Consider the following 13,433-nt stretch of genomic DNA (forward strand, 5'->3'; position numbering starts at 1 on the left):
TGCCACTTTACCAAGGGCATTGGCTAGGAATTGCCGTGGAGCTCAGGGACAGTGACAGGGACAGGGAAGCAGGAGGCAACAGGCTGGGACAGCCCTTAGGGCAGTGTCTGATACTAAACACTTGTCAAACAGTTTAAAGGGAAGCCTCTGGAGGAGAGGCTGGAAGCAGGAGGCCCAGCGGGGCTCCAGGCCAGGAAGCGGCAGGCTCCCACCCTCCCTCCCTGCACTCGGCCGTGGTGCTCCCTAAATGATGGGGGGAGTCCAAGCACAAAGTGGCCCCCCATCTCCGGGGCCCTGACTTGAAAGCAGGGTGAGTCCCGGGCCCAGGACAGGCTGGAGGAAGCCTGCACACAGGGCACAGGCTTGGGAATCTGAAAAACCTTGGCTTGAATCTGACTCTGCTACCATTTAATCGTGTGTTCCTGGGCAGATAAGCCTTTCTAAGCCTCAGTTGCTTCATCTACAAAACAGGCACTACCTCCCTCAGGTGGTGAAGATTACGCGAGGCTATACGTGGAATGTATAAATACACTGCTGTAGGATGGTAAATACCCTGCACGCGACAGGCAGATGACATGACGGCGATGACGATGACTGCCGCCAGGGAATTGGTGGTACCTGTGAGAGCACCTGTTGCTGTATTCCAAAGTCCAGCAAAAAGAATCAGAGGCTTCCTTTTAAACTGTTTGACAAGTGTTTATTATCAGACACTGTCCTAAGGGCTGGGACTATTCTAGGCTTTAGAAGGTTCTTAATGCCCAGGTGGGGGCTGCAGTGCTTGGTGGCCACCCTGTCATCCATGTCCCCGAGTGTCTCCGCTCCCCTCCTCAGCCAGGGGCTCTCCCTAAATCCCAGCCTGGCCCAGCACTTGGCCTGCTTTGTGCTGTTGCCTCTGAAGCCGTTGTTCCTGAGGGCCTGAGCCTCAGCGCTTAGCTCCAGGTCCTTCGCCGCCCCCAACTCTACCTCCCTCCTGGCAGACTCCCCCTAGAGCTGCTTTGAGCACCGTGGAGATCGAGGTGGAATCCAGACTCGGAGACATTCTGTGGCTTAGAATCCTGCTTTTCAAGATTGGAGCCTTCCCTCTCCTCCCACAGCAGGGAGAGACCTAGGAGTTGCAAGGCTCAACGCTGGAGTGACTGCTGCTAACCAGTCTTCATCTGTCTCTCCCACCCGGCCTGCAGGATTACATGCAGAACATCCACGGCAAGGAGATTGACCTGCTGCGGACAACGGTGAAAGTGCCAGGGAAGCGCCTGCCCCGAGCCACACCTGCCACAGCCCCGGGCACCAGCCCCCGTGCCAACGGGCTGTCCGTGGAGCGGAGTAACACACAGCTGGGTGGGGGCACAGGTGAGGCGGCTGCTGAGGTGGGGGCCTGGGGGGTGGCTGCCTTGGAGCCAAGGCAAGCAGGCATTCTGGGCTTGGCTGCTTCTCAGCCTGGGCACAGGGTGCTGGCCAGCATCACACTTCAAGGTCATCTCAGCCAAAGACATGTGCCCTAACGCAGCCCTCGTGGAGTTAGTTGAGGTGACAGCAAATGCCTAGACGAGCAGTTGATCTGGATGTCAGATGGGGCCAAGTAGTGTCATGTTTGGGCAGTGGTGCTGGTGGTCCTAGGCCCATCTCTGCATCTGGATCCGAGGCAGGCGATGGGTGGGGGCCATGCCTCTGGGTGCATGGCCGGCATCTCAGCCAAGGTTGGCATATGGAGATAGGGGAGGTGGAAGGGGACGGAGCTGTCTGAGGTCAACCTGGTGCATATTCTCAGGCCTGAGTGAGAGGCGGGTCTCTGCTCAGAGAGGACTGAATTTAGACAGGATCTGGAGGCAAGAAACTCCAGTGAAGAGCTGTTGCGTTCTTGCCTTTTCAACTGACAGTGCTGGCTCAGGTGAAAGGCCTCCTGTCCCCAGCAACTCCCTAGTGCCGCTTCATTCCTCCTCCTTTGGGCCCCCAGGCCCCATGCTCTTCCAGGGTCCGTCCTTCCACACCCGTTTCCCTCGCTTCCAGAGCCCCTGGCTCCCGATTGCTTTCCCCCAAGACTTCAGTATCCCCAGTGTTGTCCTAGACCATTGGATCTCATGTTCCCTGGGCCCAGTAACAGCTGCCCTGCTGGTGCCATTCCTGTGCCCTGTCCCAGCAGTCAGCGCTTGGCAGCACAGGTCTGCAGCTGGGTGAGTCACCTCCCTAGAGGGCCTGTGCTTGTCACAGTGAGGGGAGGATGTGACAGACTTAGTGGACAGGTGGTTGGGGATACGACATCCAGTCCCCTGGAATGGATGGGAGAGACCCCAAACAATAAAGAATTGTCCCACTCACAAGGCTGATGGGACTCCGCTGAGAAAGCCCAGGTTAGAGGGAAGGAAGGCGCAATGATGCCTCCAGGTGTGGTCCTTGTTGGAGGCAAGGCACCTGAACCAGGTGTGCTGGGCCCACTCTCGCAGAAACACCGTGGACCAGCCCGAAGGCAGGGGAGTGGCCAGGGGGAGGGGCCTGACACAACTGAGATGTACCCTATGCAGTGGATGTCTCTGCATCAGGTCCCAGGTCCTCAGCAGCTGTGAAGTAGAGATTATTGTCCCCATTTTAATGAGGAAACAGAGGCTTGGCATAGCTAACAAACTTGTCTGTAAATTCCACAGTAAGTGGGAGACCTAGGGTTCAACCTAACTGTGTCTGACTTGAAGAGCAATCTTCTTTCCTCTAAGCCACCCTGAGCTCAGAAAGGAAGCCTGTGAGGTGGATGGAGGGAAGGAAGGAAGCTAAGAAGGAGAAGGCCGGCCACCACCCATCATGGGGCTGTGCCAGTGGGGGACCTTGAGCCTGCCGTGGGGTTGTACTGGCCTGATGGCAGGTCACATGCAGTCTTCAGTGCTCTGCCCGGAGAGCGGGTCAGAGCTGCGGGGAGCCCTCTGGCACCGGCCCCCAGGAGCCCCTTTGGTCAGCTTGGGGTTTCTCTTATCATTCCAAAAATGAGGAGCAGGCCCAAGTGAGTCCCTTTCCTTGACAGCAGGGAGCCAGAGGACAGCTGGGCTGTTTCCCTAGAGCAAGGGAAACGAGAAGACGCTGTCCTGTCCCGTTCCTGTCCCTGACATCCCTCACCTGGGAGCGGCAGTGGCATGGAGGAGACAGCCCCGTGCCCTCGCTCCTGTAATGACAGCGCCCACACGCAGGAGCTCGCGGACGGTGCCCACCCAGCCCGCGTCCCGCTGCCGCATGCCGACGCCGACACCGACCCTCGTGCACACTCACACATGTCTCTCACTCACCGGGCGATGTTAACATCTCATTATCTTTGTTACTGTAATTACATTATCCGCTGCTTTATGCAGAATTATCCTCCGAGGACTAATTGATGGCTCCATGTTTAATTCATTAATCATTAGCATCAAATTCGACAATTACAGTGCACACTGATTGTGGGATTGCAGGCGTAATGAGGGGAGAATTAACAAAGAAAAGGGAAAGCACTTTCCCTCCCTCAGGATTTTGGGTCGGGGGCTTGGGGAGGAAGTTGGGCCTGTGATGTCTTTGGATGGGGCTAGGGATGAGGGGGAATAAGATTTGGAACCTGGAAGGGAATGAAAGCAGGGGTGAGGAGAAGCAAGGTATCTGAGAAATGAGGGACCAAGTGTGCACCCCGGAAGGTTTCCTGAGGCGGGACCTGTGAGGGCAGAGGACGGGAGGTGGGTGGGATTCTGAAGAGGCAGCCTCTACATGTTTCTTCGGGGCCTGGAGATGGAGACCGGCCTGTAGCCTCTGTGCTGCACGTATGTGACTAAGCACTTACTATGTGTCTGGTCCTCTTTGGGGTGTTGTGACAGATACAAGAGGAACATAAAACTTGCTCCCTGCCTTTGGGCGTCTCCCAGCAGCAGAGCTGTGGCCCCTTGGGCCATTCCTTTACCTTCCAGCTGCTGCAGCCTGGTGCCGTCTCCCCGCAGGCTTCCCCTCAGTCCCGCCGCCTGCAGGGCTGGTGTGAGACCTGGCGCCTGCCCTTCCCCTGGCTGGGCCTCTGCCTGCTGTCTCCAGCTTTGGCCAGCTCCGGGCCCCTTCTCTGCTTTCCCACTAACCTCCAGCACCTGGCGGGCTCCTCCGCTTCAAGGTTGAAGCACCTCAGGTTCGGCCCCCGTGTTCTTAGACCGCCTGGGGCCATTTCTTTGTGGTCTCAGTGTTGGGTGGACTGAAGAAGGGGAAGGAAGCTTAGGTTCTCGGAGTTCCAACTCAGGCCTTGTACCACAGGCCTCTGAGGCCCCACGGCTGTTCCCAGAATCTCTCCAGCAGGGGCTCAGCCAGGGAGTGAGGTGGGAGAATTGTGCGGCGCTCTGTCCTCCCTCCACTGCCGGCCGCCGCGCCTGCCCCAGCCTTGGCTTTCCTAGAGCCTTCGGTTCCCCCTGGCTCTGCCATTCTTCCCTGATGGGAAACGAAAGATTAATTTTCTCCAGCCCAACAGGATAATTACTAATACTAATTAGACATAATTACTTGAATTTGATACACTTATTTCTCGTCAGAATGGCAGTAAAGCTGAGGCGAAGCAAATGGCATATGTGGACTAGAATGGAGGGTGCAGGGGCCCAAGCCAGGAGGGGCCCCTCAAGGAGCACTGCGGCGATGGGTGTCAGCACCACCCAGCTCGTTCCACAAGTTGGAAGATCTCTGATGCAGAGACCCCCCGCCCCGCTCCCGGACCACAGTGAGGGGACAGAGCTGTGGACCGTGAAGATCTGGGGACAGGCTGCTTCCTAAGGCACACAGGGTCCCTGCGCAGCCTCTGGCTCTCCCAGAAGCTGGCCCGCCACCTGATGAACCCAGTGCCCTGCTGAATGTCTCAGGCTCTGCTCTGCAGCTCTATTTTTAGGATAGTATCTTTGAGAATCCTCCCCTGCCCGGCCTCCCTTCCCAGTCTGACCCTTCCCGCCCCCAGGTGCCCCCCACTCGGCCAGCAGCGCATCCCTGCACTCTGAGCGCCCCCTCAGCAGCTCGGCCTGGGCTGGCCCGCGCCCTGAGGGGCTGCACCAGCGCTCCTGCTCCGTTTCCAGCGCCGACCAGTGGAGTGAGGCCACCACTTCCCTGCCCCCAGGCATGCAGCACCCTGGTGAGTGGTGGCTCTGCTGCTTCCCACCTTTTCTGGGGCCCCAGTGACAGAGAGGAGGGGAACTGGGCAGCATTCTTGGCTTGGGAGGCTGCAGTGGGACAGTGTCCAGGCCAAGGGGTGGGGCCCAGCTGGGCCCTCCTGGGCTTGTCAGAGAGACCCTGCTTCGGGGCTAGTACTGACGTTGTCTTGGAAGCAGAGTAGGGGCACTGTCCCTTCTCCAGCCTCCATGTGCAGCCCTTTTCCCCAGAGCCCCCATCTGCCTGCAGCCCTGCCTGGGGCCGGCGCTAGAGGCCCACCCTCTGCAGCTCCTCCTCCCCTTTGTCCCCAGGCGGCGCTGGTGGTGGCTCCCGCATCCCCATCAGCCCCCCGCGCAGTTAGCTCATCAGCCTCTCGGCAGGGGGACGGGGAAGCGGCTGAGTAGGGAGGTCGGACGGAGGCTGGGCGCTCTAAGCCATGTGAGCCACGTTCCGAAGGCAGCAGCATCTCGCCCGCTACTGTGGAACTGGGGGGTCCCTGTGGAGTTGTCCTGAAAGGTCGTTTTCCACCTGTGCTGTCCCCCTCAGATAGGCCTCCACCCATCCTAGGTGGGTTGGTGACTCCACCGCCTCTCCCGTCTGCCCCTTCCACCTGCTTCCAGGGCTCTTCCGTTTGCCCCTTTGTTCTCTTTCTCTCTCTGCTTTTCTTCTTTTGACCCTACTTGTTACTTTCATCATTGACCACAGATCTGAAGTTCTGAAGGCTCAAAAGGGCATGGAGCCAGCTCTCCTCTCCTGTCCCTTGCGCTTTCCATGCCCTTGTCCTGAGTGATGGTGTAATGACAGGAAGACCCAGGGTGCCCCACTGTCACCCCAGCCATGGGTGCTCTCCCAGCTGATTGGCTTCCCAAAGGCCTTCCCTGAGCCCTCCCAGTAGGAGCCCTGAGGCCCAGCCTCTGAGCTGCCATGGCCTCAGGAGCACGGGCTGAGGGAGGAGCTGGGCGGTGCCAGCACGGGGATCTGCCCCACCTCCCAATCCATGCCCAGCCCACCCCTGGGAGAAGTGAGCTTGGAGCGCATGAGAAGGGGAGCCAGGGGCCCTTCCCTTGGGTCACCGGTCCGGTGGCCTGTGCTGGCCTGCGTGAGGGCCCTCTGTTGAGTCTGGAAGGAGGAAGGCAGGAAGGGAGGGAGCGTGTCTGCCTCTAATGAAGTTTGACATTTAGTGGTGAGCGCCGGGCGGGGTGTGGGAGACGGAGCTTGATTAGCGCGCTCTAATTGACAGTAATTAGGCAGCTCCCTGATTGTTTCTAATTCTGCTATTAATTGTGAGGAGCGGGGAGTGTGATTGAGGATAAATTTGGTGCGGAGCTGCTGGGGCTTCAGCTCCCCGTGAGTTCCCTGGGCTGCCTTCCACCCCTCCAGGCTGCAGAGGCAGCTTCCTCCCTTTGCCTCCATCCTGCTCTGCCTAAGTTTCCTATTCTCTTTCCACATTTTCCTCCTCCAAGGCTGGGGAGCTTTGGGACTGGGAAGCCCAGGCAGACCTCGCCTAGAGAGAGGTGTCCGTCTGGCTCTCCTGAGTGTGGCCCAGCTACAGTTGGCAGGACTGGTCCTCTCCTCCTCCCAGTGCCCTGCGCCCCTCCCCTCCTCTGCCTCCCTTCTTCCCACACTTCTCCAACTCTCCCCTCACCAGCCAGTGGCCCAGCTGAGGTACTCAGTTCCAGCCCCAAGCTGGATCCTCCCCCATCTCCCCACTCCAACCGGAAGAAGCACCGGAGGAAAAAGAGCACCGGGACCCCCCGACCAGACGGCCCCAGCAGTGCTACTGAAGGTTAGGGGGACCCAGAGGGAAACCGGGCACAGGAGGTGGGCAGTGGGACTTGGGGATAGTACCCTAAAAGTAACACCTATTTTTTATTTTTTGTATTCAGTGGATTAAGCACTTTCTAGTAGTTGCTAATCAAAGTAGTTCTACAGCTTCTTTTGGTAATCTAGACCTGGTATCTTAGAAAAGTTCTTCTGATAACTGAAACCCTTTCTGTTGAAATGTGGGCTTACTTCATTTATTCTTAAGGTAAAAGACAGCAGACTGCTACATCAATAGCTCCTCTAAGATGTTCGGGCAGGACCTGTGTTTTCTGTCTCTTGTGTCATACCGAGTTTAATAAAGTGCTGGGTACTTACTAGGTGCGTAATACATGTGTACAGATTGGCTGAGTCTCTCATTAGTTTTCCTTAGGCTAAGGAATTCCAGGTCCTGAAGCCTTCTTCCATAGGACCTTTCTCTTCCTCTATTAATTATACTGCTGCTCCTCAGATTTTCCTCAAAGTATCTTCAAAACCTCCCTCTTCTTGGTGATTGGAGTTTCTTTGCTCCCAAATAAGTTTAACTTCTACAGACTCATAATTTCTCACTTCTGCTCTAATCATCAGGGTAGACGTATGGGTCAGGGGAGCAGAGACACCTAGCCAACCTGTGACACAGTGATGCTTAGTACTTACAGCGTGGGGTCTCCCTTCTGGTCCGGCAGACTAAGCCCCACAAATGATCATGGAGATCACGTAGTTCGAAGGCTGTGGTTGAAAGCAAGGTGAGGCGCAGTGGTGGTGCCTGGGGAAGGAGGCGCCGGTTCTATTTCTGTGGGAAGGCAGTTCTGCTAACAGTCCCTGAGAGCAAGGGCCCAGCAGAGGAGGAATTCCAGGGGATGTCGGTGTCACTGAGGTGAGGCTGCCTGGGGCCAAGATGCAGTGAGGACTTACAAGCAGAGATGGCCTTGGCAGAACTGGGGTTCACCCTGGGGCCTTACCACAGGCACCTGTGCTGTCTTTCCAGCCCCCAGGACACAGTCACACTGCTTGTTAGGAATTGTTCACCCATGGGGCAGTGACCATTGGGAATGAGATTCATGCGGCTGTCTTCTGGGGCCTGGGGGACCAGAGCTTGGAAGAGCTTCACCACATTGCTTGGGTTCACAGTCCAGCCCTCAGTGCTTGTCAGTACAGATGCCCTCAGGCCCCTATTTGCTCACATACTGCAGGTCCTGTAGAAAACCTCTCCTCCTCTCCCCCATCCACTTGCCCTTCCTGCCTGTCTATGCCATGGTAGTGGGGGAGGGGCCCAGCTCCCAGGAGCCCCACGCTGACGCCGTCAGGAATATTGGGTTTAATGAGCTGCAAAATGAGGCGGCTGCAGCTGACATGTACGGATGGTGCCCACACCCGCCTTCCCCCACCCTCTCCCAGTGTTTGCCTCCTAGCACCCCGTCACATCCTTCTCCAGATACTCAGCTCTTTCTGTGGGATGCACCCCTCTCTGGTTTCACACCCATTCCCGGCAGTGCCAGGGGTGCCAAGATCTTGCATCCCCCATCTGTTTTCACTTAAGCTCCACAGGTGGTTAGGAATGAGAACTGGGAGCTCACACTAGTCTTGCAGGTTTACTCTGGCCTCCCCCTGCAAGCTGTCCTGGAGTGTGTGGCCTTGCAGCTGGGGAAGGGTCTAGGGGAGGACACTTGCCAGTGGAGCAGGGTAGTGAGTGGAGTTGTGGCGATAGCATGCCCTGGGTGTGCACGCAGGCCAGGAGCCCTGATGGCATAAACACCCCCCCAACAGAGGCAGAGGAGTCGTTTGAATTTGTGGTGGTGTCCCTCACTGGGCAGACGTGGCACTTCGAGGCTTCAACGGCGGAGGAGCGGGAGCTGTGGGTTCAGAGTGTGCAGGCCCAGATCCTTGCCAGCCTGCAAGGCTGCCGCAGTGCCAAGGACAAGGTGGGTACAGAGTGACTGGGCCCACACAGAGCACCTGGCTGGGGTGGGACTGAAAGGGGCCTCATGACTGACCAACCGCCCCTTGTCTTGTCTCTCCTGCTGTGCGACAGACTCGACTGGGGAACCAGAACGCAGCTCTGGCTGTGCAGGCCGTCCGCACCGTCCGCGGCAACAGCTTTTGTATCGACTGCGATGCACCCAGTGAGTGCAAGGCTGGTGGGGCTGGGAGCTGGGGATGGCCCAGGGAAAGCTTCGCAAGCATCAGGGAGCAGGGAAGAGGGCAGGGAAGCCTTCCCTAGTTGTCCCGCGCTCTGGTGGCCTGCCTGCTGTCGCTGTATCATTCTCCTCTCCTTGCCTAGATCCAGACTGGGCCAGCCTGAACCTGGGTGCCCTGATGTGCATTGAGTGCTCAGGCATCCACCGACACCTGGGGGCTCACCTGTCCCGGGTGCGCTCCCTTGACCTCGATGACTGGCCGCCTGAGCTGCTGGCTGTCATGACTGCCATGGGCAATGCCCTCGCCAACAGCGTCTGGGAGGGGGCCTTGGGTGGCTACTCCAAGCCAGGGCCTGATGCCTGCAGGTGAGCAGATGGTGCCCTGGAGCTGGCCAGGAATGGGGGAAGCGTTGGGGGCTCCCAGCATGGGGAAGATTGGAGTGGCTGTGATGGTATTAGAAGGGTTAAAACTGTCTGTTGCTCTGCTTGGCAGTTGGCCCCTTGGGGGTGCCCCTCCTGCTCTGGTGCCTGTCACTCAGGCGCCTCACAACAACGGGCCCTTTCTGAGCGTTATCAGCAGGTCAGGGGCCAGCAGGAGGCGCATGCGCAGGGCCCCTATCACGGTGTGGTGCAGAGCGCCCACTCCGGAGCTCTGAGATGGGGAGAATGGGTGAGAGATAGGGGAGTGTGTGGCCCCCCAGTGCAGGCCCCCACCCGCTTTGTTCCAGCACTGCCAATCCAAGAGAGTTCAGACGGCCAGATAAGCTGCAACACGGGCCTGCCTGGAATCTTCCTGCCCTCTCAGCCCCCGCATCCCCACTGTCCCCAGGGGGCCTCCCTTCAGTGTCCCTTCCTTTCAGCTTCTCCCACCCCCCTTTCCATTACCCACTGCCCCTCTGTGTGCCTGGAGTTTCCAAGGCTTCTCTCCTTCCTTTTTGCTCCATCTCATCTTCTCTCACTGTTTCTTCCTTGTTCCCCCGGGTGCTCGCTTCCTTTCCTGCCCACCTTCCTGGCCCCACCCGTTGCTCGGTGACCTTCCTTGGCTCATGCCCTGATGGGCCTGTGGTTGCAGAGAGGAGAAGGAACGCTGGATACGGGCCAAGTATGAACAGAAGCTCTTCCTGGCCCCACTGCCAAGCTCAGATGTGCCACTGGGGCAGCAGCTGCTCCGGGCCGTGGTGGAAGATGACCTGCGGCTGTTGGTGATGCTCCTGGCACATGGCTCCAAAGAGGAGGTGAATGAGACCTATGGGGACGGGGACGGGCGGACGGCTCTACATCTCTCCAGTGCCATGGCCAACGTTGTCTTCACGCAGCTGCTCATCTGGGTGAGTCACGTGCCTCTAGCCTGCCCTGACCTCGCTCTTCTTAGCCTTGTTCTTTGAAAGCAACCTCTTCTTTCCTCCCCTACAACCAATCTCTCTCCTCCCATGTCTTGCCAACTGTCAACATGTGTTTTCTCCTACAGTACGGGGTGGACGTGAGGAGCCGGGACGCCCGGGGCCTGACTCCACTGGCATATGCTCGCCGGGCCGGCAGCCAGGAGTGTGCAGACATCTTGATCCAGCATGGCTGCCCTGGGGAGGGCTGTGGCTTAGCGCCTACCCCCAACAGAGAGCCTGCCAATGGCACCAACCCCTCTGCTGAGCTGCACCGTAGTCCTAGCCTCCTATAAGGCCCAGGAAGAGGGCAGAGGGGCCAGAAGGACTCCATGGCCCAAAGACCCTCCTCCCTGCAGGCACTGTGGGAACAGACACAGAGATGGAGAAGCAGGGACATGCTGAGAGGACGAAGCCAAGGAAATTAGGGAGGAGAGTCAAAGGGATCAAGGAGAGTTGGGGATTTGAGCTGCAGCAGAGAGGGATGAGGGATTTAGCCCTCTGCCCTAAGGTGCCATTGAAAAGGGACAGGACCCTTCGGAGGTGCCTGTGAGGAGAGGGGAGCAGGACCTCTCCCTCCTCCAGATCCCTGCCTCCTAGTGCCAGCCCCTCACACGCCTTCATCCTGAAACAGGAAGAGGACGGCACCAAGTTGGGGGTGCTGGATGAAAGAGACGAGGGGTGATCTGTGAGTCCCATGTAAACTTTGTACATTGGAATATTTATGTTTGTGTACATATTTGATGTGTGTGTGTATGATGAGCCAATAAACCAGACTGTGTGCGTGGCCTTGTTTCCCCCTTTTACATCGCTGCCCTCCCAAGCGTGTCCCTCAGCTCTGCTCTCTCCTTATCCCTTTCTTCTCATTGTTTGCCATGTTCTAAGATTTTCTTCCCTCTGTTCGCCTGGGTCCCAGGTGGTCATTCCTCATCCTTCTATGCGCATTGCTTTCTTTCGGCCTTCCCTTGGCAGGGTGTGGTTGAGTTTTCAGCAGCACAGCACAGGGCCCCTGAAGAGAGGACACAGAGTTCTTTGCTTCCTACTGGGTGCTGCCTCCCCCACCTTTAGGCAGCTTTTTTTTTTTTTTTTTTTTTTGAGACAGAGTCTCTTGCTCTGTCGCCCAGGCTGGAGTGCAGTGGCGAGATCTCGGCTCAGTGCAACCTCCACCTCCCGAGTTCAAGCGATTCTCCTGCCTCAGCCTCCCGAGTAGCTGGGATTACAGGCGCCCACCACCACGCCCAGCTTATTTTTGTATTTTTAGTAGAGATGGGTTTTTTCCATGTTAGCCAGGCTGGTCTCGAACTCCTGACCTCAGGTGATCCACCCGCCTCGGCCTCCCAAAGTGCTGGGATTACAGGCATGAACCAGCATGCCCAGCCGTCAGGTAGCCTTTCTAGCTGCTCTCTTCATTTGTCATCAGTATTCTATGTAGTAAGCTTGTTGCCACACCCTGTACTGGCCAGAATGCACCCAGAAAGTGGGCATAAGCATTGCCCCTTTCCTACAAGTCTGGGAATGGCCATACAGTAGGATGTACAGGGAGATACTTGAGTCAGTACCCTGGAGAAGAACTGAGGGTGCCGCAGGTAAGTGGCAGCACTTCTCTCCAGATAGCTGTATTACAGCATAGACTGACTTGTGCCTGGGCTTTGCTTGTGAGGAAAGGGGAGGAGGTAGGTGGTTGACACAAGAATGGCTGCCTTAACTCCCACCATCTTGCCAAGCCAAGCTGGGGGGCAGAATCCAGAGTTCCTGCTTTTCCTTCTGACTGAATCCCTTAGTCCAGAAGGAAGACCTGGGGGAAATGCTTCTCCCTGCTGGTTCTGAAAGGATGAGAACTTGCTAAGTTAGTTAGAGTCCTGGCTCTCTGAGGAGTCTCTTGCTGTCCCATTCCTGGACCCACATTGCTGGTAGCCCTTGTCTTCTCTTTTTTTTTAAAATAAAAAAAAAAAAAACTCCCACAGGCCAGGTGCGGTGGCTTACACCTGTAATCCCAGCACTTTGGGAGACCGAGGTGGGCAGATCACGAGGTCAGGAGTTTTTGAGACCAGCCTGGCCAACATGGTGAAACCCTGTCTCTACTAAAAATACAAAAATTAGCCAGGCGTAATGGTGGGCGCCTGTAATCCCAGCTACTCAGGAGGCTGAGGCAGGAGAATTGCTTGAACTCAGGAGACGGAGGTTGCAGTGAGCCGAGATTGCACCACTGCACTCCAGCCTGGGTGACAGAGCAAGACTCCATCTCGGGGGGGGAAAAAAATTCCCACAGACCTGACATAGGCCCTTTCTAAAGCACCATGAGCATAATATGTTGGGTGTGGTGGGCTGGTGTGTTGTGCAGGTAGGCAAGTAACACTCTTCAGAGAGGAAGCCAGGCTTTATTTTCTCAGCCCACAGCCCCTTTTGCAAGGCTGACACAAACCTTACATGTAGATAGGGCAAAATAGAGACAGGGCCATGGGTATGTGTAGGAATAGGTTCCTGGGCTCCAAATACTAGCAATAGTCACCTCCAGATTCCCTGTGGAAAACAAGCTGCTTCGGCTGGTTGAATACTGCTTTGAACAGGTTAGGAGGCTTCATAGGTAGAGCCAGAAAAACCCCTGCAGGTTGGGGCCTTGGTTTGAGCTGCTTCTCATCTGTGGCCTTCCTGCCCAGGTGTTCTCTTGCCTGCCACCACAGGGGACACATGGCCACAGAAACTCTGCTCCAGCCGTGCCAGAATGACAATGGCTCCTGTGATCCTCAACCTCTGCCTGGCTTATCTCCTAAAAAGAAAGATCTAACCGCGGCTGGGTGAGGTGGCTCATGCCTGTAATCCCAGCACTTTGGGAGGCCGAGGCGGGTGGATCACGAAGTCAGGAGATCAAGACCATCCTGGCTAACACGGTGAAACCCCATCTCTACTAAAAACACACACAAAAAATTAGCCGGGCGTGGTGGCAGGCGCCTGTAGTCCCAGCTACTCGGGAGGCTGAGGCAGAAGAATGGCGTGAGCCCAGGAG

General features: G+C 56.9%; 1 protein-coding gene across 13 annotated transcripts in view, besides 4 other annotated features; it reads left to right on the plus strand.

The window, feature by feature from the left end:
• The window catches only part of AGAP3 (ArfGAP with GTPase domain, ankyrin repeat and PH domain 3), a 58,568-nt gene extending 47,352 nt beyond the window's left edge, over positions 1–11,216 (plus strand). For 5 of the 13 annotated variants that reach the window (NM_001350103.2, NM_031946.7, XM_047419866.1 and 2 more), the window contains 8 exons: positions 1,182–1,350; positions 4,925–5,095; positions 6,761–6,898; positions 8,680–8,834; positions 8,945–9,035; positions 9,194–9,416; positions 10,123–10,378; positions 10,519–11,216. In NM_001350103.2, coding sequence (NP_001337032.1) covers positions 1,182–1,350; positions 4,925–5,095; positions 6,761–6,898; positions 8,680–8,834; positions 8,945–9,035; positions 9,194–9,416; positions 10,123–10,378; positions 10,519–10,725 — 1,410 coding nt within the window. In that variant the 3' untranslated portion in view covers positions 10,726–11,216. Of the gene's footprint in view, positions 1–1,181; positions 1,351–4,511; positions 4,880–4,924; positions 5,096–6,760; positions 6,899–7,500; positions 7,659–8,679; positions 8,835–8,944; positions 9,036–9,193; positions 9,417–10,122; positions 10,379–10,518 lie in introns of those variants that run through there. The other 8 variants (NM_001350104.2, NM_001281300.2, NM_001350102.2 and 5 more) reach the window with 4 other exon arrangements.
• Positions 2,697–3,671: an enhancer, noted in NCBI's record as "H3K4me1 hESC enhancer chr7:150833002-150833976 (GRCh37/hg19 assembly coordinates)". NCBI's record gives its function as "activates a minimal SCP1, AML or CMV promoter by ChIP-STARR-seq in naive H9 embryonic stem cells {active_cell/tissue: H9 hESC(naive)}" and the evidence as "EXISTENCE:reporter gene assay evidence [ECO:0000049][PMID:30033119]".
• Positions 4,645–5,618: an enhancer, noted in NCBI's record as "OCT4-NANOG-H3K4me1 hESC enhancer chr7:150834950-150835923 (GRCh37/hg19 assembly coordinates)". NCBI's record gives its function as "activates a minimal SCP1, AML or CMV promoter by ChIP-STARR-seq in primed H9 embryonic stem cells {active_cell/tissue: H9 hESC(primed)}" and the evidence as "EXISTENCE:reporter gene assay evidence [ECO:0000049][PMID:30033119]".
• Positions 5,619–6,591: an enhancer, noted in NCBI's record as "OCT4-NANOG-H3K4me1 hESC enhancer chr7:150835924-150836896 (GRCh37/hg19 assembly coordinates)". NCBI's record gives its function as "activates a minimal SCP1, AML or CMV promoter by ChIP-STARR-seq in naive H9 embryonic stem cells {active_cell/tissue: H9 hESC(naive)}" and the evidence as "EXISTENCE:reporter gene assay evidence [ECO:0000049][PMID:30033119]".
• Positions 9,886–10,845: an enhancer, noted in NCBI's record as "H3K4me1 hESC enhancer chr7:150840191-150841150 (GRCh37/hg19 assembly coordinates)". NCBI's record gives its function as "activates a minimal SCP1, AML or CMV promoter by ChIP-STARR-seq in naive H9 embryonic stem cells {active_cell/tissue: H9 hESC(naive)}" and the evidence as "EXISTENCE:reporter gene assay evidence [ECO:0000049][PMID:30033119]".

The sequence above is a fragment of the Homo sapiens genome, chromosome 7 (genome assembly GCF_000001405.40).
Source record: "Homo sapiens chromosome 7, GRCh38.p14 Primary Assembly".
NCBI classification, from domain to species: domain Eukaryota; kingdom Metazoa; phylum Chordata; class Mammalia; order Primates; family Hominidae; genus Homo; species Homo sapiens.